Genomic DNA, 22,834 nt, shown 5'->3' with positions numbered 1-22,834 from the left:
CCAAGAGGCGGAGGTTGCAGTGAGCCGAGATCACGCCATTGCACTCCAGCCTGGGAGACAAGAGCGAAACTCCGTCTCAAAAAAAAAAAAAAAAAAAAGACTTGGAAACGTTCTTTCAAGACTCAGGAAGCAAACTAACTCTGGGAGGCCTATACCTTATATATTCCAAGAAATTATGATCCTAATAATTTCTAGCAAGCTCTGTCTTTTGGTGCTAGCTGATAGAACTTTTCATGTCCATCAGAGTCCTGTTTTAGGTTTTAAAAAAACTGTCTTAACTTTTCTGTTCTTAAGGAAAATTTATTACCACAACATGTAACTAGTTTTCTGCAGGGAAATTTGAAAGAAGAGAGAGGTAGATACTCCAATTTTTTTTTTTTTTTTGAGACAGAGTCTCGCTCTGTCGCCCAGGCTGGAGTGCAGTGGCACTCTATCTCGGCTTACTGCAACCTCAGCCTCCTGGGTTCAAGCGATTCTCCTGCCTCAGCCTGCCAAGTAGCTGGGACTACAAGCACACGCCACCATGCCCAGCTAATTTTTTTATTTTTTATTTTTAGTAGAGATGGGGTTTCACCATGTTGGACAGGATGGTCTCGATCTCCTGACCTCGTGATCTGCCCGCCTCGGTCTCCCAAAGTGCTGGGATTATAGGCATGAGCCACCGCACCCAGCTGATACTCCAATAATTTTTTAAATGAATAAAACAAAAATGGCTGCAGAAGAACATGACAGTGTGATCCCATTTTTCTAAATGAGTAAAAATAGTGGCCGGGATCGCACTACTGCACTCCAGCCTGGGCGACAGAGCGAGACTCCGTCTCAAAAAAAAAAAAAAAAAAAAAAGGAACTCAGATATTTAATTTCCCATTTTGAAAGACACAGCTAGATTTTATAAAATGAAAGCCAGGCATGGTGGCCTACACCTGCAGTCCCAGCTACTCAGGTGACTGAGGCGGGAGGATCTTTTGAGCTCTGAACCCAGGAGTTGGAGTCCATCTTAAGGTAGCATAGAGAGACCCAGTCTTAAAAAAAAAAAAAAAGCAAAAAAGCAAGCCACACTGGCCAGGCGCAGTGACTCACGCTGTAATCCCCGCACTCTGGGAGGCCGAGGCGGGTGGATCACCTGAGGTCAGGAGTTTGAGACTAGCCTGGCCAACTTTGCGAAACCCTGTCTCTACTAAAAATACAAAAATTAGCTGGGTGTAATGGCAGGTGCCTGTAATCCCAGCTACTCGGAAAGCTTGAACCCGGGAAGTGGAGATTGCAGTGAGCGAAGATCGTGCCACTGCACTCCAGCCTGGGTGACAGAGCTAGACGTCGTCTCCAGAAAAAAAAAAAAAAAAAAAAAAAGCAAGCCACACTGCTCAGCTCCAGGTGGCACATCTTGTGCTTTCACCAATCCTTTGGAAGTTCATTTGCTCTACTCCTTGAATTGATTTTATTTATAGATTGAGGATTTTTTTTTTTTTTACTTACCAAGACGTAATAATGTCTGAAAAGTTTCAGCTTTGCTAAGTTAATAGCAGCTAGAGAGAAGAAAGAACAAAATGAAGAGCTCGTTAACTTCTCATTTTTAAAAGTAAGCCTCATTCAGATACCTTCTCAGTCAAGAGGCCACCTCTAATGCAGATGAGGACCACTCAGAGGCACATCCATCTATCTGGAATCAAGTCCGCTGGGCGGTCTCTCCTCCAATCACCAGGAAAAAATGTGGGAGCAGCACAGCCCCAGTGAGCCCCATGAGCTGGAGTTGGCTTGCACAGGCGATTCCCGCCCCAGGGTCAGCAGCTGTAACCTGGCTATGGTGGGAGTATACTGACATCACAGGAATTGGCAGATGCTACAAATCAGGAATTTTTTCCCCCCAGAGAGCCAGCATTAAACATTTCAGCTCTGCACAGAGCTGTGACCTCCACTGGGACTAGTCTCAGGTTGGTCCCAGAGAACCACCTGGGGGGGTCTCCCACTAGCTGAGGGTGTAAATTCAATAAACCCACAGATGCATTTTGCAAATTTCACTGAAGTTATCATTAAGTGACTTGTAATAAGCCCTTTCAGTACAACCTCCCTGGCTGGATCCTACCTTCATGCATGCTCAAGGTCAGCTGAGCCAGGACAGCTACCTTCCTGACACTGCCTACGGCTCTGAAATATTGATGAGTAGAGGGAAGCCTGGCTCCCTCCCAGATCAGCAATCCTTTCATTCATCATAAACCTTCCTGCAGGAGGCAAATTAATTTTGCTTAATAGCATTCAATTACTGATTCAGTTTAAGAATGGGACCGTGGGTGGTGAAGGTTCAGATTTCCTCTTCTTCCTCCTTTGGGCTCATGATTAGTTGTCGGGGAGGGAGGAGCAATCAGGCTTAGGATTCCAAAAGAAATTCCTGTAATCCTAAATTATCTTCAAGATGAACATCACTAACAGAATCTACAAGAATCTCCTCTGAGAAACCCAATGCACTAATGAGGGACACTCAGAAAGTCTCACAGTTGAGAGGATACAACACCTGCCTCTGGGGCTGCAGCAGATTCACGCAGGCACGCACACAACACCTGAAGATGCAAAATCTGCAAAATCGCAGCAGCTTTCTTACCTAGCAACCTCTCTGGCAGTCTTGTTATTTTGAAAAAATTAAATCTTGGCCAGGTGCAGTGGCTCATACCTGTTTGTAATCCAACACTTTGGGAAGCCAAGATGGGAGGATCCCTTGAGCCCAGGAGTTTGAGACCAGCCTGGGCAACAGGATGAAACCCCTCCCTGTCTCTTAAAAAAAAAAAATTAAAAAATTAGCCAGGTGTGCTGCCTACTTGGGGGGCTGAGGCAGGTGGATTGCTTGAGTCCAGGAGTTTGAGACCAACCTGGGCAACACAGTAGAACCCCGTTTCTACAAAAAAAAAAAAAAAAAAAGAAAAGAAAAGAAAGAAAAAAAAGAAATAGGCCGGGTGCAGTGGCTCACGCCTGTAATCCCAGCACTTTGGGAGGCCGAGGCGGGTGGATCATGAGGTCAGGAGTTCAAGACCAGCCTGGCCAAGATGGTGAAACCCCATCTCAACTAAAAATACAAAACTTACCCAGACATGGTGGTGGGCGCCTGTAATCCCAGCTATTTGGGAGGCTGAGACGGAGAATTGCTTGAATCTGGGAGATGGCAGTTGCAGTGAGCCGAGATCACGCTACTGCCCTCCAGTCTGGGTGACAGAGCAACACTCTGTTTCAAAAAAAAAAAATTTAGCTGTTTGTGATGGCACGTACCTGTGGTCCCAGCTACTTGGGAAACAGAGGTGGGAGGCGCCTGAACACTGGAGATTGAGGTTGCAGTAAGCTGAAATCATGCCACTGCACTCCAGGCTGGGTGACAGAAGGAACCCAGTCTCAAAAAACAACAGAAAAAGCAAATTAAAAATTAAATCTCTCTGGTTCTCATCATTTTGTTGTTGTTTTTTTTGAGAGAGGTCTTGCTCTGTCACCCAGGCTGTAGTGCAGTGGCACGATCACAGCTCACTGCAGCCTTGACCTCCCAGACTCAAGTGATCCTCAGCCTCCTGAGTAGCTGGGACCACAGGTGTGTGCCACCACGCCCGACTAATTTTTGTATTTTTAGTAGAGATGTGGTTTCACTATGTTGCTCAGGCAGGCAAGAGCCTGCCTCAGCCTCCCAAAGTGCTGGGATTACAGGTGTGAGACACTGCGTCTGGCCTCATCTCTTTTTTATTCAGTCAATACAAACTCACCAAGCCCCAACTCTGAGCCAGGCCCTGGGATACAGCAGTATACACGACAGCTGCAGCCTCTGCCCCCGGGGCAGCTGCTATCCTGTGAGAAGAGAAGGGCACCGAAGCACAAATTATGCACTCACTGAGTGACATGCACACACAGCCACTGCTGACCGGTGTGCGATCAGGTGTTCCTCCTCCCCTGAGGGATGGGAAGGCCTTCACAGAGGACAAGACATGAGAACTGAGAAGCATCAGATATCGATAATGAAGTGCTCCCAGGGATTTTAACCTTCGCCCTCTGGGATGAACCTTTTGTGTTCCTCTCTGGATGCAAACCTGCTGTTCCCATCGGCAGGGGACAATGAAATGACCAGCTCATACTGTACTCTGCCTAACAGAACCAGTGACATGACCGGAACCGTGGCCCTCCCAAACCAGCTAAACACCTCTTCAACATGAACACTCGATTCTTCACAGCACCAACAATTAGACAGTTTAAATGATAAAAAATGCTTTAAAAGTCTCTCCTGAGGCTGGGCGCGGCGGCTCATGCCTGTAATCCCAGCACTTTGGGAGGCTGAGGCGGGTGGATCACGGGGTCAGGAGATCGAGACCATCCTGGCTAACACGGTGAAACCCCCGTCTCTACTAAAATTACAAAAAATTAGCCGGGCATGGTGGCGGATGCCTGTAGTCCCAGCTACTGGGGAGGCTGAAGCAGGAGAATGGCATGAACCCAGGAGGCAGAGCTTGCAGTGAGCCGAGATCACGCCACTGCACTCCAGCCTGGGTGACAGAGCGAGACTCCACCTCAAAAAAAAAAGAAAATAAAATAAAAATAAATAAGTCTCTCCTGAATTTTGCTTGCTGAAGTCCTGACAAAGGAAACTCCTACTCGCTTCACTAAGAAAATCAGCCAGACAAGGAAGTGTCATGTTTTCACTGCTGGGTTTCAAGGTGTCCTGACAGGGGTAAGCATGGGCTCCCAAGCCAGACCAGGGAAAAGGAGTGAAAGAGAGGGTTTCCCAAAGGGCCTGAACACAGCTCAGCAGTGAGCCACAGTGGGAGAAGGCAATGCGGAGAGTGCTGTGGAACAGCAGGTGCGGAGGCTCAGAGGTGAGAGAGCTGCACATATCAGGGAAGGAAAAGTAGCTCAAAGCGGCTGGACTGTGGAGAGCCTAGGAAATGGGGCAGGGCTAAGAGTAAAGCCAAAAATTAAGACACAGAAGACTGAGCTTGTTCTCCTTGTTGGTTTTGGGGGTCCCAGGGAACCTCTAAAGCAAGCTTGTCCAACCTGCGCCCCAGGACAGCTTTGAATGCGGCCCAACACAGATTTGTAAACTTTCTTAAAACATTATAAGATTTTTTTGCAATTATTTTATTTTTCTTTTTTAGCTAATCAGCTATCGTTAGTGTTAGTGTGTTTTAAGTGTGGCCCAAGACAATTCTTCCAGTGTGGCCCAGGGAAGCCAAAAGATTGGACACTGCTATTCTGAAGGGTTTTGTTTTGTTTTGTTTTGTTTTGTTTTGTTTTGTTTTGAGATAGGGTCTCACTCGCTGTCTCCCAGGCTGGAGTGCAGTGGTGTGATGATGGTTCACTGAAGCCTCAGCCTGCTGGGCTTACATGATCTCAAACAGCTGGGACTACAGGCGCACACCATCGCGTCCAGCTAACTTCTTATGGAGACAGGGTCTCACTACGTTGCCCAGGCTGGTCTCGAATTCCTGAGCTCAAGCAATCCTCCCATCTGTTTTCCAAACTGCCAGGATTGCAGGCATGAGCCACCCTGCCAGCCCGTTTGTTTGTTTTTTAAACTAGTCAACTGCAGCAGTGAGAAGGGAAAGAGCAGAACAAGGAGTTCGATCTGTAACTGAAAAATCAACGGAGAGGGGTCACAGCCACCTTCGAACCAGCCTCCCAAAGGCTTTAGGCAACACCACGATCAGGTCTACACTTGAGAACAATCCCTCCGTGGAGGAAGGATGGAGAGAAAAAAGAGGAAAAGCCCAAATGAGGTCAAAGACCTTGACTCTGCGGAGGCCCCTCTAAAAGGCAGTGAGATGTCCATCGATGCAGAGCGATCGAGGAGTGGATGGGGCAGTGAACAGCAGGCTGATCCCACCTCAGTGGCTGCTAGGAAAGAAGGAAGAGCAACAAGGCAATGAAGTTGAAGACAGCAGAGAGAATCTTCAAGGTAAAGTCTGACGGGTCTCTCCTTTCACAGGGAAGGAAATGCGGATGGGGAGGGGACTGAGAGAAAGCAAAGAGGTTAAGGCACTGCAGGTCTTAACCAAGTAAGGACCGGGGTGGGGTGAGAGCAAAAGAGAGGAAGGCACTCTGCCTGGCACCTCCCTGGCATCATGCGTCGCCACGTCACATCCTCCAGGCTCAGGCAAGACACCCTCTGAAGGGAGGTGGGCTATGAGCCGCTCCATAAATGAGCCTCTCCATAAATGAGCCTGCGCGCCCCACACAGGCACCAGTGAAGAAACATCACCACGGCGCAGATGCTAGGCCATGTAGGTGCTAAGACTGACAAATGGACCTTGGGGACAACAAGTGCTGTCTTTGAGAAATGTAGTTAGAATAAGCAGAGCTCACAGTTGTTTCCAAAACCCAGCAGGCTGGCTCATGCCTATAATCCCAGTACTTTGGGAGGCTGAGCCCCGGAGGGAGAGACCAGCCTGGGCAACATAGGGAGACCCTGTCTCTACTAAAAATAAACATAAACCAGCTGGACATGGTGACACATGGCTGTAGTCCCAGCTACTTGAGAGGCTGAGGTAGGAGGGGAGGCTGAGGCCAAAGTAAGCCGTGACTGTGCCACTGGCACTCCAGCTTGGGTGAGTGAGTACCTGTCTCAGTAAAACAAACAAACAAACAAACAAACAAACAAAAAAAACAGACTAAAAATAAAAACCCACCAGTCGTGATGCCATCATTTCCAGTCACGCATAAGACATTCCTTTATCAGACAGCAGTTGGCGGGGGTGAGGCTCTCAAGCCCTACACTGGAGCTCCAGTCACAGCTGAAGCAGCAGAGGCAGGGACTGAGCTTACTCGTGGAGTAAGAAAAAGGAGAGCAGGGGGGTTAAAAGTCTGGGCCCTGCACGACTGAACATCCTGGGTTCAAATTCCAACTCTGCTGCTCACTGGCTGTGTGGCCTCCGATAAGTCAGCTAACCCTCTCTGAGCCTCGGTTTCTTCACCTGTTAAGGCAGAAGTAACGATGCCCGCCCTTAGGGTTGCTGGGGAATTAATGGGATAGTACACAGAAAGCAGCTGGCTCGCAGTGAGCAGTTGGCTACTTGCCATGACAGTGTTAGTGTCATATAGGATTAGCCCAATACCAAATGTAGCATATACTGTGTCACAGCGGCTGCCACCTCTGGCAAGAATCCAGTGAGTAAAACTGGAACAAATGGGGACCTGGGGGCTGCCAGGGCGCCTGGGCTCTCCTGCAAGCAGCGCTGCCATATGCATAGGATGAGTCAGGATGCCGAGCAGGGGTGGAGCCCGCTCTGAGCAGGGTGAAACCAGCATGATGCAGTGAGCAGCCAGGCAGCAGGTCGCAGCCTGGGGTCCCACGACTCCCTCCATTGTTCTTCCAAAGATTTCCCTGACTTAGGAACACCGACAGCCTGCTGCTCACCGGACTGTGGCGGGCTGGGTGTTGGGCTCCTGTGGGAGCGAAGGCTCACCAAGGCTGGGCGGGCTATTTCTGACCTCACCATGAGGAGCAGCAAATACGGTGAAAGAATGAGTGTGGGGAGAGAGACAAGGCCCCAGGCAGGATCCAGGAGGCCTGCCTTCCAGCCCTGCCCCATCTCAGCTGGGTGTGCCTGCCCTTGGCCTGCTGCCTCTGTCTCCAGGCATCGACCTCCTCATGTGGAGGAGAATTCCTTTATAGCAATGGTTCTTAATGGGGGTGAGCAACAGAATCATCGGAAGAGCTTTAAGTATAGATGCCCAGGCTGCCCCTGCCCCTGCCCATCTTAGGGAATCAGGCCCGGCTATGAAGATGCTGAAACCTCTGCAGGGGAGAGAAAAGGAGGAGACGGGGGTTGGGGAGGGTGTCATGTCCACCTGGTCTTGGGGGTCCTGTAAGGCTGACCTCCTGTCCTGTGGGCTCCTCTACCTCCAACTCACTCTGAGGAAAATAACCATGACACTCGATTCTGGTAAGTCCTTCTTACTGATGAGAACAGGACAAGTGCCCACTGAGGCAGGAAATACCACAGCCCCTGCAAATGCCCAAGTCAATACTCTCCATGACTCAGCAGAAGAGCAACGCCCCCCACAGTGCACAGGAGGTGCTGCCCCTGCCCTAGGTGGTCCCCTGTCCTCTCTGAGTGAAAGAGGAACTAAGAAGGCCAGCAAGGAGACAGATTATCCCCTCCTTCCCAGCTGACTTCCCAAGAGGATCCTGGAACTGTAACAAGGACAAAAACAACAGCACTGGTCGTTGCCATCAACTGAGTCATCACCATGTGCCAGAAGCTGGGCTGGGCACCTCTCATGCTTCATCTCACGATGGCCTCTGTGGGGGAAGCAGGCCTGACACACTCAGGCCTGGAGAAGTTTAGTAAATGACCAAAGTTACCCAGCTTGTAAGTGGAGAAGCCAATACGCAAACCCAAGTCCACCTCCCTCCAAGGACCAAGCTCTTAACACCTACGCTTCATGCTAAGGGAAAGGCAGTTCATAACCTTAAAGTCCACTAGTGACTTTAGGACGACACAGGTCAGGACGATTAGTTCAGGACGATGCAATCATGACTCAAAAGGCTGGGTGATGCCCAAGAGCAGGCAGTAATCCTTTCTAAGGAGTTTACACCACATGATTTATGCGGCACACAGAAGCAAAGGCCCACAACAGCCACTTAAAGCGTGAAAAATTTCTAAAACAATCCTTCCCTGAGTGTAAGGACAGCCTCAGAGCCTAAAACACCCCCACCTACTCTTCATCCTTGTTGCCTGCTTCCTCTCTGCTGGGCTTCAGAGGGAATTTTGAGTCAAACACAAAAATTAAAGAAATAAAGACGATGGACAGCCTGGCTGGCGTTAAGAGTACCTCTGACTTACGCTGAGTCTCGGCATTTCCACAATCTGCTTAAGTCCTGGGCTCCAGCTCACTCAGCATGGGGGACAGAGGAGCTCCCCCGTTTGTGGTCAGATACAGGCCTGAAAGTCTGGCGAACAGCTTCTCTCAGTCACCAGAAAGGCACCAAAGGACGCAGGCCACGGGCTGACCTGAGACCACACTGGCCTGAAATGTCCCTTCTGGGGAGGGTTTAGTTCACGAGCTGCCCTCTGGCCTCCACTAAGAAAAGATCCCACTAATCCCACTCAAAGACCATATCAGGAGCAAGTATGGGAAAGGCTACGAGTGGTCAAGAACAACTACACACAGAATAAAATTCTTTGATCTTCAAAATGTTGAGTCATGTGAAAATGAATCGAAAATACATTTCTGGCCAGGCATGGTGGCTCACACCTGTAATCTCAGCACTATGGGTGGCTGAGGAGCGCCGATCACCTGAGGTCAGGAATTTGAGACCAGCCTGGCCAACATGGTAAAACCTCATCTCTACTAAAAATACAAAAATTAACCAGGCGTGGTGGTGCATGCCTGTAATCCCAGCTACTCAGGAGACTGAGGCAGGAGAATCGCTTGAACCCAGGAGGCAGAGGTTGCAGTGAGCTGAGATCGCACCATTGCACTCCAGCCTGGGCAATAAGAGCGAAACTCTGTCTCAAAAAAAAAAAAAAATACATTTCAAATATACATTTGAAGCAATGACCCAGGAGATATGAAAAGTCATCAAACTGAACAGTTAAGGACTGTGCATATTATTGTAAACGAAATTATATCTTAAATGATAAATAAAAAGCATCAACAAAAGCAGCAGAAACAGCTCCTCAGAGTAGCACTAAAGACCACACAATACCAGGAAAGCTAGCTCTGACAAAGACTTCTGTTGCCAAGCCTGTTAGGTTTCCAGCTCCTATTTACCTTCGATTCTAGAGCCATAATGCACCAAAGGCACCCGAGAAGGTGGTGTGCAAAGGGCCACGCTGATCTCAGACTCAGCTCCCGTCAGTCTCTCCTGTTTCTCTGCCAGCCGCAGCCTGCAGCCGCAATGCTGTGAGCTATGCCAGTGAGACTTGGGACGCAACCCTGCAGCTGGGCTGAGGCGCACATTACCCCCAACCCCTCCTGTCCACTGCACACAGTCACAGCAGCGAGCTAGGCAAGGATGAAGGTCAGACTTCCCAATGCTTGATGACAAAGGCTGGTTAATAGCAGGCAAAACCTTCTCAGCAAGAGAATCTGACCTTCCCTAAATACTGCAGTCATCAGTTGAGAAGAGTTGGTTCTCAACAATGTCTCAAGACACACAGAAAGCACATGCATGTTAACACCAGTAGGCAGAAGAACCAGGCCCAGGCAGGTCCAGGGAGGGTCTGCCACCACGGACCACTAACCAGGCCCTCTGGGTGGCTGTGGGCCCCCTGAAGTTCTAGATTCCCAACACTTTAAAGGCCTAAAAAAGCCTGGCAATGTGTCCAAGACAAGACTGCTTCTCAGCCGGATGATATGAGAGACCTCTGCTTTTGGATGTAGCTTAAATGAACTGAGAGTGGTATCACTGGTTAATGGATTATTTCATAATGTTCATCAGAAGCTGCGACTCAGTTGATGGCATTACAGGAATAGAGTGCAATCTGCTAAGGAAAAGTAATGACAAGAGAGTTTTGGTGATTAAAGAAATTTAAAATCACTGTATTAAATCAGCTTAATAAAAAACACACATTGGCTGGGCACGGTGGCTCATGCCTGTAATCCCAGCACTTTGAGAGGCCGAGGCAGGCAGATCACTTGAGCCTCCCAAGTAGCTGGGGTTACAGATGTGCACCATCACGGCTGGCTAATTTTTTTTTTTTTTTTTTTTTTTGAGACGGAGTCTTGCTCTGTCGCCCAGGCTGGAGTGCAGTGGTGCGATCTCAGCTCACTGCAAGCTGTCTCCCGGTTTCACACCATTCTCCTGCCTCAGCCTCCCGAGTAGCTGGCACTACAGGCACCCACCACCACGCCAGCTAATTTTTTGTATTTTTAGTAGAGATGGGGTTTCGCCGTGTTAGCCAGGATGGTCTCGATCTCCTGGCCTCAAGCAACCCACCTACCTCGTCTTCCCGAAGTGCTGGGATTACAGGTGAGAGCCACCGTGCCTGGCCTATTTTTTTTTTTAAAAGAAAACAAAAAGGACCAGAGCAGAACTGCTCTTTGAGGTCCATTCCAGTGGAAGTGATAGAAAAGAGAAAGCAAGAAAAAAATGAGCGGAAAAAAGGGGGAGGATCTCTTCTGGGAATGAGTCCTTCTGGGAAGTCTCACATCATGCGGCTGGTGTGTTCCTATCCAAATCACTGTAGAAGGGTAATAAGATGATTTAAATTAATCTAAAGAAGAGGTTATTAAATCTGGGGTCCATGAATCCATGATATTACATGGAAAACTTTATGTAGACATGGGAAGTCTATATCTCTCACTAGATTCTCAAATAGGTCTATTATTCCCCAAAGGGATAAAAACCACCAATCAAGGAAAGCAAGGATGAAAAATAAGAATTAAATATATAAACATGAGTTGCAGCCATGATGCACTCAGTGATTATTTCTCCTCTTGTCTTCCCTAGTAGGTTTTTTGTTAGGTCTGTTTATATGAACACACCCAGATACAACAGAGTTCTTTGGCATAAGCTGCCCTGGACTAACAGACATCTTAAACAACCACAAGCATCTGGCCAGCTAAGTCTGGAATAAGCTTAATAGGCAAAGGAAGAGAAGAACCAGACAGGCTTTCACTCATCTTCACATCCCCATGTCCATGAGAGACTCAACAAGCCTCATCTCTAACACAGCAGTTCTCCACCTTTTGGTCTGAAGACCTTTTCACACTTTTAAAAATTCCTAAAGACCCCAAGTTTTTCGGTTAGTATGATTATATCTACAAATATGGATCAGAAAGTAAAACAGGATGGGTCCAGTGGCTCACACCTGTAATCCCAGCCCTTTGGGAGACTGAGGCAGGAGGACAGCTAGAGGCCAGGAGTTCAAGATCAGCCTGGGCAAAATGGTGAGACTCTATCTCCACAAAAAAAATTTTAAAAATTAGTGAGGCATGGTAGTGCATGCCTGTAATTCCAGCTACTTGGGAGACTAAGATGAGACGATCACATGAGCCTAGGAGTTTGAGGTTACAATGAACTATGATCACACCACTGCACTCCAGCCTGCGTGACACAGGACCCTGTCTCTAAAATTAATTAATAATATATGTATATATTTTTTCGAGACGGAGTCTTACTCTGCGGCCCAGGCTGGAGTGCAGTGGCACAATCTCAATTCACTGCAAACTCCGCCTCCCGGGTTCAAGCAATCCTTCTACCTCAGCTTCTCGAGTAGCTGGGATTACAGGTGTGCGCTACCACGCTCAGCTAATTTTTGTATTTTTAGTAGAGACAGGGTTTTACCATGTTGGCCAGGCTGGTCTCGAACTCCTGACCTCAACTGATCCGTTTGCCTCCGCCTCCCAAAGTGCTGGGATTACAGGCATAAGCCACTGTGCCTGGCCCCAAAATAAAAAACCTCTTTTCTAAAAAAAAAAAATGAAAAAAAAAAAAAAAAAAAAGAATGAGAAGACCAGAATTATTTTTGTAATTCTCTTTAATGTCTAGCTTAATAACATGCAGCTGGGTTCTCATATTTGATTCAATCAGCATTCAACTTGCTGTGAGGGAGTATTTGGTGAAAATATATGAAGAAAATCTGGCCCCATACAGATAGATGTAGGCCTTTTCAGATTACTGTGAATAGTCTGTGATTCTACATTAAAACCTGACAAGAGGTTGCTTCTAAAGATGAGGGAGGTGGGGAATCTGAAATTTATCAATGAACTTTCCACACTCTTACATTAATAAACTCCACTGGTCCATCCTGCACTTTCAGGAGAGCTTTTACCCCCATGCATGACTATGGAACATCCTGCACTGGCCAGGTGGAAGACAATGTTTCAGTGTGTTATGTAGATCTCCCAGATACAGAAACATTTTATTATAGAATTCTTAAAAAAATCACATTGTTAGTATCACCTCTGCTTACATCATAAGTCTTATAAGAACTGGGAAACTGGCCGGGTGTGGTGGCTCACACCTATAATCCCAGCACTTTGGGAGGCCGAGGTGGGTGGATCACTTGAGGTCAGAGTTTGAGACCAGCTTGGGCAACAAATTGAGACCCCGTCTCTACAAAAAATATAAGAATTAGCCGGGCATGGTGGAAAGACCTGTAGTCCCACCTACTCAGGAGGCTGCAGTGGGAGGCTCACTTGAGCCCAGGAGGTCAAGGCTGCAGTGAGCTGAGATTGTGCCATTGCACTCCAGCCTGACTCAAGGAAAAAAAAAAAAAAAAAAAAAGATCTGGGAAACTGTCAGTTAGGAAACTGTCAGGCTGACAGGGATAAACACAAGTTTTCTTTTATCACTGGCAACAAATACTATTAGTTGTTTTTGTTGAAGTAATATGTTCACTTTGTTCATTTTCAAGAAAATGTCCACCACAAACCCATGTCTGTGTCACCATAACAGTCATTCTTCCAGATAAAAGCAGCTTGGCCAGGCACAGTGGCTCATGCCTGTTATCTCAGTACTCTGGGAGGCCTAGGTGGGTGGATCACTTGAGCTCAGGAGTTTGAGACTAGCCTGGGCAATATGACAAAATCCTATCTCTACAAAAAATACAAAAATTAGCCAGGCATAGCAGCACACGCCTGTAGTCCTAGCTACTTTGAGGGCTGAGGTGAGAGGATCGGTTGGGCCCAGGAGGTTGAGGCTGCAGTAAGCCAAGATTACACCACTGGACTCCAGCCTGGGCAACAGTGCAAGACCCTGTCTCAAAAAAATAAATAAATAAAAAACAACAAAAAAATAAAATAAAAGCAGCTAGTTCAGCTTGCAATTCAAACAAGTGCACACGTACTTTCCCTCAAGGCCACACCCATCACACTTCAGGCCCAGCAGCAGTGCTGTGTGCACACCTCCCATGCTGTCTCACAGAATATTAAAAGGCAAGGGTTGAGATTTAATCACATCAACAGTTTTATTATTTCAAGACCATTCTTAAGTGATATGAGCCTTTTTCACCCCCTGTGAGTAGGTGACAGTAAAGAATGCAGTGGCTACTGGCAGATTCTGGTACCACAGCCTGGAATCACGTGACGGTGCCGGCAATTTCACCCATCATTGCTTTTCACCATCAGGCAAATGTCAACAGCACAAGAGACTCACACCGTATGATTATGAAAATAGTTTTGATCCCGAGGACCCCCTTGAGAACCGCTGCCCTAACAAATGCCTCGCATGGTCGCGGCTCCTTTCAGAGCACGGCGGCACCTCGGAATGAAGCCGTTCCTCCATCAACTCTGCAGCCAGCCAACCGGGATTGTTTAAATACTTCTGAAGCTCACATGAAAGCTAAGGCTCTTCAGAATACATCTTCTGACTTTTCCTCAGAAACACAAGGCCCAAAAAAAGGATGGTGAGCAGCAGAGACTGTTAATTAAATTTACGGTGTGTATCTCGACGCCAGTCCTATAAGGTAATGACACTGGAGAAAGAGAAGGGAACGCGGATGCGGGCTCAAGGGCAGTCAGAGCCAGTAAATCTTAGCAGGCGAGACAGAGTGGAGCCAGCGCTAGGTGTGTCTGTGCGAGACTCAATTAAGCTCCCTCTCGGAGGATGCAGTGCAGCTGTGAGTCTCAGTGACCGAGGACCTGAGAGAAGCCACTGCGCGTGACAGGAGAGACAAAGACGCGGCTAAAGGACAGTGGGCAGCTTCGGCCTCAATGCTTTCCTTTAGATTTCCCTCAGGTTTGGTCAAAAGGAATCCAGAGACAACAAAGTAAAAGCCAAACAAACACTCTCTGAAAGCTGTATTCACCCCAAAACTGAAAACTGTATTCACCCCAAAACTGAAAGCTGTATTCACCCCAAAACGGAAAGCTGTATTCACCCCAATGCAGGAAGGAAAACTACAAATGGCATGTCTCTCACTTGCAGTTACTGGGCCTGGACTGCACCTAAACTAAAAATGAGATTCTTTGCCATAGTGTTTTGTTGTTGTTGTTGTTTTGAGATAGGGTCTGGCTCTGTTGCCCAAGCTGGAGTACAGTGGTACAATCTCAGCTCACTGTAGCCTTGATCTCCTGGGCTCAAGTGATCTTCTCACCTCACCCTCCCAAGTAGCTGGGACTACAGGCGTGTGCCATCAAGCCCCGATAATTTTTGTATCTTTTTCTAGAGGTGGGGTTTTGCCATGTTGCCCAGGCTGGTCTGCCACAGTTTTTTGTGTGGTTTTGGTAGAGATGGGATCTTGCTATTATGTCACCCAGGCTGGTCTAAAACTCCTGGCCTCAAGCAATCCTCCTGCCTCGGCCTCCCAAAGCGCTAGCATTACAGGCCTAAGCCACCATGCCTGGCCTAAAAGTGAGATTCTTAAGCCCGAAGTGGCCAGATGCAGTGGCTCACACCTGTAATGCCAGCATTTTGGGAGGCCTCATGAGGCAGGACGATGGCTTGAGGTTAGGAGTTTAAGACCAGCCTGGGCAACAGAGTGAGACCTCATCTCTACAAAAATTTTAAATTAAAAAAAAGAAAAGCCCAAGTTACTGTCAAGGCCATGAAATGAGTCACTGGAATAATGAGCCTGAGAACAGGAAACAGAATGTCAGGCTCTATCCAGCAAAGCTTCCAAATCTAATAGGAGACATTATTGCCTGTAGCCTTTGTGCTCCTAGTTGCCTCCAGATCTCAGGAGTGAACTGAGGGGGCACAGAGGGCCAATGGGGCCACAGATCCCAGCACCAGCGACTGGAAGCATGCCCACTCCCGCTTTCCCGCAAGCTTCACAGCACATAGCCGCCCTGTAGTCACAACCGAGGGCAGCTCCAGCACAGGCCATTCCTGAGACCTCTCTGCAGGGGAGGCTCCAGCTGGGAACACGGCTGCTCTGGCTCTGGGAGTGTCGCAAGCATAACCACTTTTCAGGGTACAGAGTGATGCCCAAAAGCATCTCACAGCCTCAATCAATTCAGGGAAAAGAACATGAACCAAAATGACAATCCCGTTCTAATCTGCTCTGTCCCTCTTTCAGAGTATTTGTGATATTTGCTGATGAGAAATGGGTGCTTCCTTAGCAGATGTCTTCCTAAGAATGGGGAATGTGAACCCTGGTTTACCTATGCGACTTCCTGCTCTTAGATTCGCTCTCTGCTGAAGAGGTCCCATGCTGTCACCTGGTGGAAAAAAATGAGAAACTGCCTTGTGTGCCCAGGCCATGACAAAAGCGTTCCTGTTAAAGGAAGTTACCCTTTACTACAGATGCTGGGGGACAACGCTGACCCCATGCTGCCTCACCTGCTGTGCCATCTACTCCAGACAGAGCACCTTACTAAGATCCTCAGCTACCAACCAACCTCAGGTGGAATAAATGGTCCCAGTGGCAGTCACCACAGCCACCCCACACTCGCTAAAGCAAGATGGAGGACCGAACAGGTAGACGAGTCAGGAGGACGAAGCAGGGGCCGGGGAGGACGCAAAGAAGGGAGGAATTCATCAACGGGCAGGATCGAGCAAAGAGAAACACACAGGTAAGCCTCGCCAACAAAAAGCACCGCCCTTGGGATTTTTACACATTTTTAGCCAAACAGCCGGAAGAACCAATGAGAAATACAGAAGTGTATAAGATAATAAAGTTAAATGGTCTCATCGCGATATATTAAAATAAGAAAAAGCCTAGCCGGGCGCGGGGGCTCATGCCTGTAATCCCAGCACTTTGGGAGGCCGAGGCAGGTGGATCGCGAGGTCAGGAGTTTGCGACCAGCCTGGCCAACATAGTGGAACCCTGTCTCTACTAAAAATACAAAACATTAGCTGGGTGTGGTGGTGGGTGCCTGTAATCCCAGCTATTTGGGAGGCTGAGGCAGGAGAATCGCTTGAAGCTGGGAGGCAGAGGTAGCAGTGAGCTGAGATCGCATCACTGCACTCCAGCCTGGCAGACAGTGCGAGACTTCGTCTCCAAAAAAAAAAAAAAAGAAAGAAAAAGACTACCTGTTCACCAAGTTACAAATATAATAAAACTACCTTCTTATATAACACGATAAAAGAAAAATAAGGACAAGAATATCCCCAAAGAGGCTGGGCGTGGTGGTTCACATCTGTAATCCCAGCACTTTGGGAGGCCGAGGCAGGCAGATCACTTGAGGTCAGGAGTTCGAGACCAGCCTGGCCAAGGTGGTGAAACCTCATCTGTACTAAAAACACAAAAATTAGCTGAGCGTGGTAGCAGGCACCTGTAATCCCAGCTACTTGGGAGGCTGAGGAAGGAGAATCGCTTGAACCCAGAAGGCAGAGGCTACAGAGAGCAGAGATCGTGCCACTGCATTCTAGCTTGGGTGACAGAGCAAAGCTCTGTCTTAAAAAAGAAGAATATCCCCAAATTAGCCAGGCGTGCTGGCAGGCGCCTGTAATCCCAGCTACTTGGGAGGCTGAGGCAGAAGAATTGCTTGAACCCAGGAGGTGGAGGTTGCAGTAAGCCGAGATCATGCCATTGCACTCTAGCCTGGGCAAAAAGAGCAAAACTCCGTCTCAAAAAAAAAAAAAAAAAAAAAAAAGAATATCCCCAATTATTCCTAGAGGTGGATTTGTACTTCCTACCTTGGGTTTTTCTAATGATGGCAGGGTGCTTTACTGGGCTCCAAGAAAGGCTATGTAGCCCGGCTAGAAGCAAAAGCTCTGTGACTCCTGCTTAAAGCCACTGAAAAGAACCTGCTTAAAGCCACTGAAAAGAACCTATCACAAGAGGACACTCCAGAGGGAAAAGAAGGGAACCTGGTATCTTTGAGGGGAAAAAAATGAGAAAACGGGAGAAGGGCTATTCCCAGGACTAGAAAGAAAACAAAAGCTGGTGCAGGTCGCAGAAGCTGAGTGGGCCTTGGGAGGCTGGCCTCTGACCACTGACCAAGGCTCCAAGCCTGGGTATGACTTGCACACAGGCTGCCTAGGAGCAAGAGTTACGTGAACCTGGACAGCAGGAATGCCATACTATCTGTTCCAGGCCCAAACTGGCGAGATCCTCCAGAATACTGTGCTCTAAATAACAACCTAGGGCTGACCCTGGCGTGAAGCCTCAAAGTCATGTTTAATTTAACTTAAAGAAATAATGCGTTATTAGTTATATACCAGGTTTGTGAAAGAAGATTTACAGCTACTATGCATTTTCCGAATTTTCTAAAATGAATCTACATTGGCTTTATAATCAGAAATAGAGTCAGCAACAAAACTTTATTAACAAAAACCTGTTTTATTTATTATTCATAACCTGCATTAAAGAATGTTAATATCCACACTGGGTGTACGATACCATGGATCCAGAGACCGTTCTGAGCTTTGAGAGAAGAGAGCACTGCTCCTTAAACCCTTGTGGTCTGAAATTCTCACTTGTGCTATGGCAGCCTGTGGTCATGAACATTATTCAAATAAGCCCAGAACCACACAAAACATTTTCTTTGCAGCTTTTCTTCTGATTTAGGAGGCATGACTGGAAAGTCAAGGAGATGCAAAAGGGCTATAAAGGGCACAACCATTTCAATATCAGGTAGTTTTCAAGGTTCCTTCTGTCATCAGAGTCTTGCTTTAAATGAATACTGACACATCTATTTTGAAAGTGTGTTAAATCAGCAGGCAGGGCTGCTTTACACATAGCCATCTCCAATCCATTATCCCTCCTGTTCTCACAGCGAAGTGTTATCTGGCCCTTCTAAGACAAGATTTTCTCTTGCTGACTCAGTTTTGAGAAGGTGAAAATCACAACCACGAGTGGAAATGAAATGAATCATCTTAATAAGCAGCAGTCACCCCCAACCTCCTCCTTATACAACTGACTCAACACCTCCTTCTCCAAACTACCCCTGGCTGCTCTCACGAAGTGGGCCCCAGGCCTCCCCTAGCTCTCCTCCCAGGAAGACAGCATCTTGACACCATAGGCTGCCTCCACTCCTCCGCAGTGCCGCAGCACGTGGGTTCAGAGCAAGCTGAGCAACACAAAATGAGCACGAGAGAACTTGCCTTTTCCATCTGTTGCTGATGCTTCTTGTAAATGTCTGATTGACCTAAAAATAAACATTTAGAGAACAAAAAGTTAGCTGACAAATCTGCACTCCTCTCTATTTCCAGCTCTAGTAACTTGAGGCTGAATTTCTCAATTACATGCTGAAAGGTTGGACTACATCACTTTAGAGCACTCTCCCTAAAACGGGTAGAGGGGGGGAAATGGTTGATATCAACACGTCTGAGGTAAAGTCGCCCTCTGCTGGCCAAATCTGTGGCAATAAGTCTAGCAGGGACCAGAGCGTGAGGAGAAAACAAAACTCCATCATTTAATGCTCCTGTTAATCTCTCACTCCCACAACCACCCCCTACCCAACACTCCCATGACAATGGAGCATCACTGGGCTCACCTGCCACCAGGAGAGAATAAACCCTAGAAGAAAGTCACCAGCTGACTTCTAGAGTCTAGGTCTAAGAGCTGTGAACATACAGCACCATGCAAACTTATCGAGTGGAGATTTTTAACACTGCTGAAAAATGCCAGCCTCCAGGGACACTGTCTGGGGCTGTGATGTGCTGGTACCTAATGACCATCATTACATTTCAGGCAGAGGAACATTAACATTATTACAGGAGCCGCAGGTGAGAGGTGGAGGCACCATGAAAAGCCACCAACAGAGAGACTTCCCTGAGGGCTGAACAGGGCACAGGCAGACAGGCTGTGTGAGGGAAGGCGGCTGTGGTCTGACACTGTCACTCACTCTTGTCAGCAAATCAATTACTCTTCCTAAATCCTCCGTAATTTGCCCACCTGTGAGAGGGGCTATCTGCTTGAGAACTGAATGGAACACCACACGAAAGCTAACCAGTACACTGCTGGCCCTGAAGCAATGCTGGCTGAATCGGGATATTTACAAGTATTATTATTATTATTATTATTTATTTATTTATTTATTTATTTTGAGACAGAGTCTTGTTCTGTCGCCAGGCTGGAGTGCAGTGGCATGATCTTGGCTCACTGCAACCTCCGCCTCCTGGGTTCAAGCAATTCTCCTGCCTCAGCCTCCCGAGTAGCTGGGACTACAGGCACATGCTACCACGCCCAGCTAATTTTTATATTTTTAGTTAAGATGGGGTTTTGCCATGTTGGCCAGGATGGTCTCGATCTCTTGACCTCGTGATCCGCCCACCTCAGCCTCCCAAAGTGCTGGGATTACAGGCGTGAACCACCGCGCCCAGCCTAAAAATATTATTAATCTTGAATCACCTCTCCAGTACTTACTGACTTTTTTCATTTTACAGTAATTTTTAGGATATTTACCTTAAGGAATTTTGCCATTTGGAATCTGCTCATTAGTGTTGTAATTAACAAGGGGCAGGAAATGGCTGCTTACACCTCGACAGCTTGTTGGGGTTCCTTATATTTGACTATTCTGATAGTGGCATGTGTAAAAGTAGGGTGTGAACCTCTGTTCCCTAATGAGGTGCTCTTTTCGATCTGGAAACAATGCTGGACATCCTATGTTAGATACCCGAGTGACTAATTCCTGTGCAGGACGGCAGGAGGCTGCAGTGAGGAGGAAGAGTCATTCATATTCCACTGGGTGCGGTGGCTCATGCCTATAATCCCAGCACTTTGGGAGGCTGAGGTGGGAAGATCACTTGAACCCAGGAGTTTGAGACCAGCCTGGGCAACATGGCAAAACCCTGTCTACAAAAAATTGGCTGGGTATGGTAGTGTGTGCCTGTGGTCCCAGCTACCCAGGAGGCTGAGGTGGGAGCATCATTCATACTCTCTTCTATGCTGGTAGCTGTCTGCTGAACTGATACGAGATCATGTGTGATGTATGATGGAATGAGGGTGAAGAGTGAATCTAACTGGCTGGAATGAGAAGTACTCTCCATTTGCACCATGTTATAAATAATGAGAGTAACTGACAAACCCCAGGATCCTCAAAAATATTAATTTACTGGATGGGGCATTGCAATAAGAAGCACCTCAGCCAGCTGCGGTGACTCATGCCTATAATCCCAGCACTTTGGGAGGACAAGGCAAGTGGATCACCGGAGGTCAGGAGTTTGAGACCAGCCTGGCCAAAATGGCGAAACCCTGTCTCTACTAAAAATACAAAAAAAATTAGCCAGGCATGGTGACACGCACCTGTAATCCCAGCTACTCAGGAGGCTGAGGCAGGAGAATCACTTGAACCCAGGAGGCAGAGGTTGCAGTGGGCCGAGATTGAGCCATTGCACTCCACCCTGGGCAACAAGAGCGAAACTCCATCTCGGGTTAAAAAAAAAAAAAAGAAGCACTTGTAATGGAAGGCCGGGGTGAATCTATTTTCTTTAAAATTTATTTCAAAAGAATTGCATTCCAATAGCCATGGAATTATATCACTAAGGGTAAAGTGTTTTATTGCTGCTAGCCTTCTGAATTTCTACCACTCTGCATGTGATTTAATAAGGATATTTTCTCATCAACCACTGACTTGACACTAACACTTCTTTACACAGACCCAATGCACAATCTGTGCATCTAAACACTGCCATTTCCAGGAATGGAGCAATCCATTCTGAAAACATCAAAAATGTTTGTGTGCTGAGAACTATCACTAGTTTTATGTTAATGAACTTCCTCATTTTCCACCTAAGTTGGCAAGAACTGGCTGTTTATGGGATTTCTCCAACTCCCTACCACCACCACAAATTCAGGCTGCTACTTTAAGTTACTACCAAGTTCTCATTTCCCAATTCCTCTCTATTGTCTTAGAACTCTGTTAAATGCCAGCTCATGGTGACGGATTAGCTCTGCCAGAATACCCCGAGTAACTGGAAAAAGACACAGGGTTCTGCCCCTGGAGGCTGATTCAGGTCAGTCTGGGACTCAGAAAGCTGTACTTTTAAACACACGTCCCATGTGACTGAGATCAGTTTGGGAATGGCCAGTTCAGCTATTGGGCTTGACAGCCAAGCTGTCATGTGGCCTCCCTCCCTGTGAGCTACTCACCACACCACTGGGAAGAGGATGGCACCACAACACAACAGGTCGACCAGAAATAGAGAGTCCTTCCACAAGCCATATTCAGTCGTGCCCTCCTCGGTGGACTCTATGATGATGTAGGCTACATTTGCCAGGACCTACAGACATGAGAAGTTGCTGAGGCCCCAAAGCATGGGTGGACTGTTATGATGCTAGCAGCCCCAATGTGGGGTGTACACCTTGGCCTCCAGACCCACGATCTGCGACCACAGCATTCTTTCCAGTCCCACGTGCTCTTCCAGAACTCTGCCACTCCGCTATCAAGGAGAGTCTCTATGCCACCCCCCTGAATCTGCACAGGCCGTAATTGCTCTAATACAGTAAGATGGAAGTACTGCTGTGTGATTTCCAAGGTAGATAAAGCTTCCACCCAGCTCTCTTGGGACCTTTGGAGCCCTAAGCCTTCTTGTAAGAAGTCTGGCTACCCTGAAACTACCCTGCTGTACAGACCATGCAGAGATGGAAAGGCCCCCCCAGGAGCCCCGGCTGTCCCAGTCCCCACCTGAGCAAGCTTCTCAGCCCAGAAGACAGATGCGAGTGGAGACTTCAAGATGCTCCCAGCCATGGTGTGACTATGACCACAAGACCCAAGTCAGACCTACCCAGCTAGCCACTCTTGAATTCCTAACCCACAGAAACTGAGAGAGAGAATGACGGGTTATTGTCGTTTTAAGTCGCTGAGTTTTGGGGTGATTTGTTATGCAGCAGTAGATAACAGGGACACTTTGCTTTTCAGGTACCCCAAACCCAGTGGAGTCACTCAGGTGCTGGACTGCTGGATAGGTGGCACTTAACACCCTATTTAGCCACAATGCCCATACTTTTCAGGCCATGGTGCTCAGTGACAATAACTCATCTAAGTGCCAGACAATGGAACTGTGTTTTCAGAGACCAGAGGGTGAGCATGGCTG

The 22,834-nt window shown here is 47.6% G+C and overlaps 1 protein-coding gene across 6 annotated transcripts in view, besides 3 other annotated features; it reads right to left on the bottom strand.

Moving 5' to 3' along the window:
* Nucleotides 1–22,834, bottom strand: part of GPR107 (G protein-coupled receptor 107) — an 86,259-nt gene that overhangs the window by 13,724 nt on the left and 49,701 nt on the right. For 3 of the 6 annotated variants that reach the window (NM_020960.5, NM_001287346.2, XM_017014953.3), the window contains exons 13-15: nt 21,891–22,021; nt 18,902–18,945; nt 1,477–1,526 (exon numbers count right to left, since the gene is read on the bottom strand). In NM_020960.5, coding sequence (NP_066011.2) covers nt 1,477–1,526; nt 18,902–18,945; nt 21,891–22,021 — 225 coding nt within the window. Of the gene's footprint in view, nt 1–1,476; nt 1,527–11,777; nt 11,865–16,014; nt 16,072–18,901; nt 18,946–21,890; nt 22,022–22,834 lie in introns of all 6 variants that reach the window. The other 3 variants (XR_007061336.1, NM_001136558.2, NM_001136557.2) reach the window with 2 other exon arrangements.
* Nucleotides 3,542–3,681: a silencer, noted in NCBI's record as "silent region_20399". NCBI's record gives its function as "represses an Ori minimal core promoter by ATAC-STARR-seq in GM12878 lymphoblastoid cells {active_cell/tissue: GM12878}" and the evidence as "EXISTENCE:reporter gene assay evidence [ECO:0000049][PMID:35858748]".
* Nucleotides 6,581–7,529: an enhancer, noted in NCBI's record as "H3K27ac-H3K4me1 hESC enhancer chr9:132881191-132882139 (GRCh37/hg19 assembly coordinates)". NCBI's record gives its function as "activates a minimal SCP1, AML or CMV promoter by ChIP-STARR-seq in primed H9 embryonic stem cells {active_cell/tissue: H9 hESC(primed)}" and the evidence as "EXISTENCE:reporter gene assay evidence [ECO:0000049][PMID:30033119]".
* Nucleotides 10,006–10,551: an enhancer, noted in NCBI's record as "H3K27ac-H3K4me1 hESC enhancer chr9:132878169-132878714 (GRCh37/hg19 assembly coordinates)". NCBI's record gives its function as "activates a minimal SCP1, AML or CMV promoter by ChIP-STARR-seq in primed H9 embryonic stem cells {active_cell/tissue: H9 hESC(primed)}" and the evidence as "EXISTENCE:reporter gene assay evidence [ECO:0000049][PMID:30033119]".

Source organism: Homo sapiens, chromosome 9 (assembly GCF_000001405.40).
Source record: "Homo sapiens chromosome 9, GRCh38.p14 Primary Assembly".
Taxonomy (NCBI): domain Eukaryota; kingdom Metazoa; phylum Chordata; class Mammalia; order Primates; family Hominidae; genus Homo; species Homo sapiens.
The sequence above is the reverse complement of the archived record's forward strand: the minus strand, read 5'-3'. Positions and strand labels throughout refer to the sequence as shown.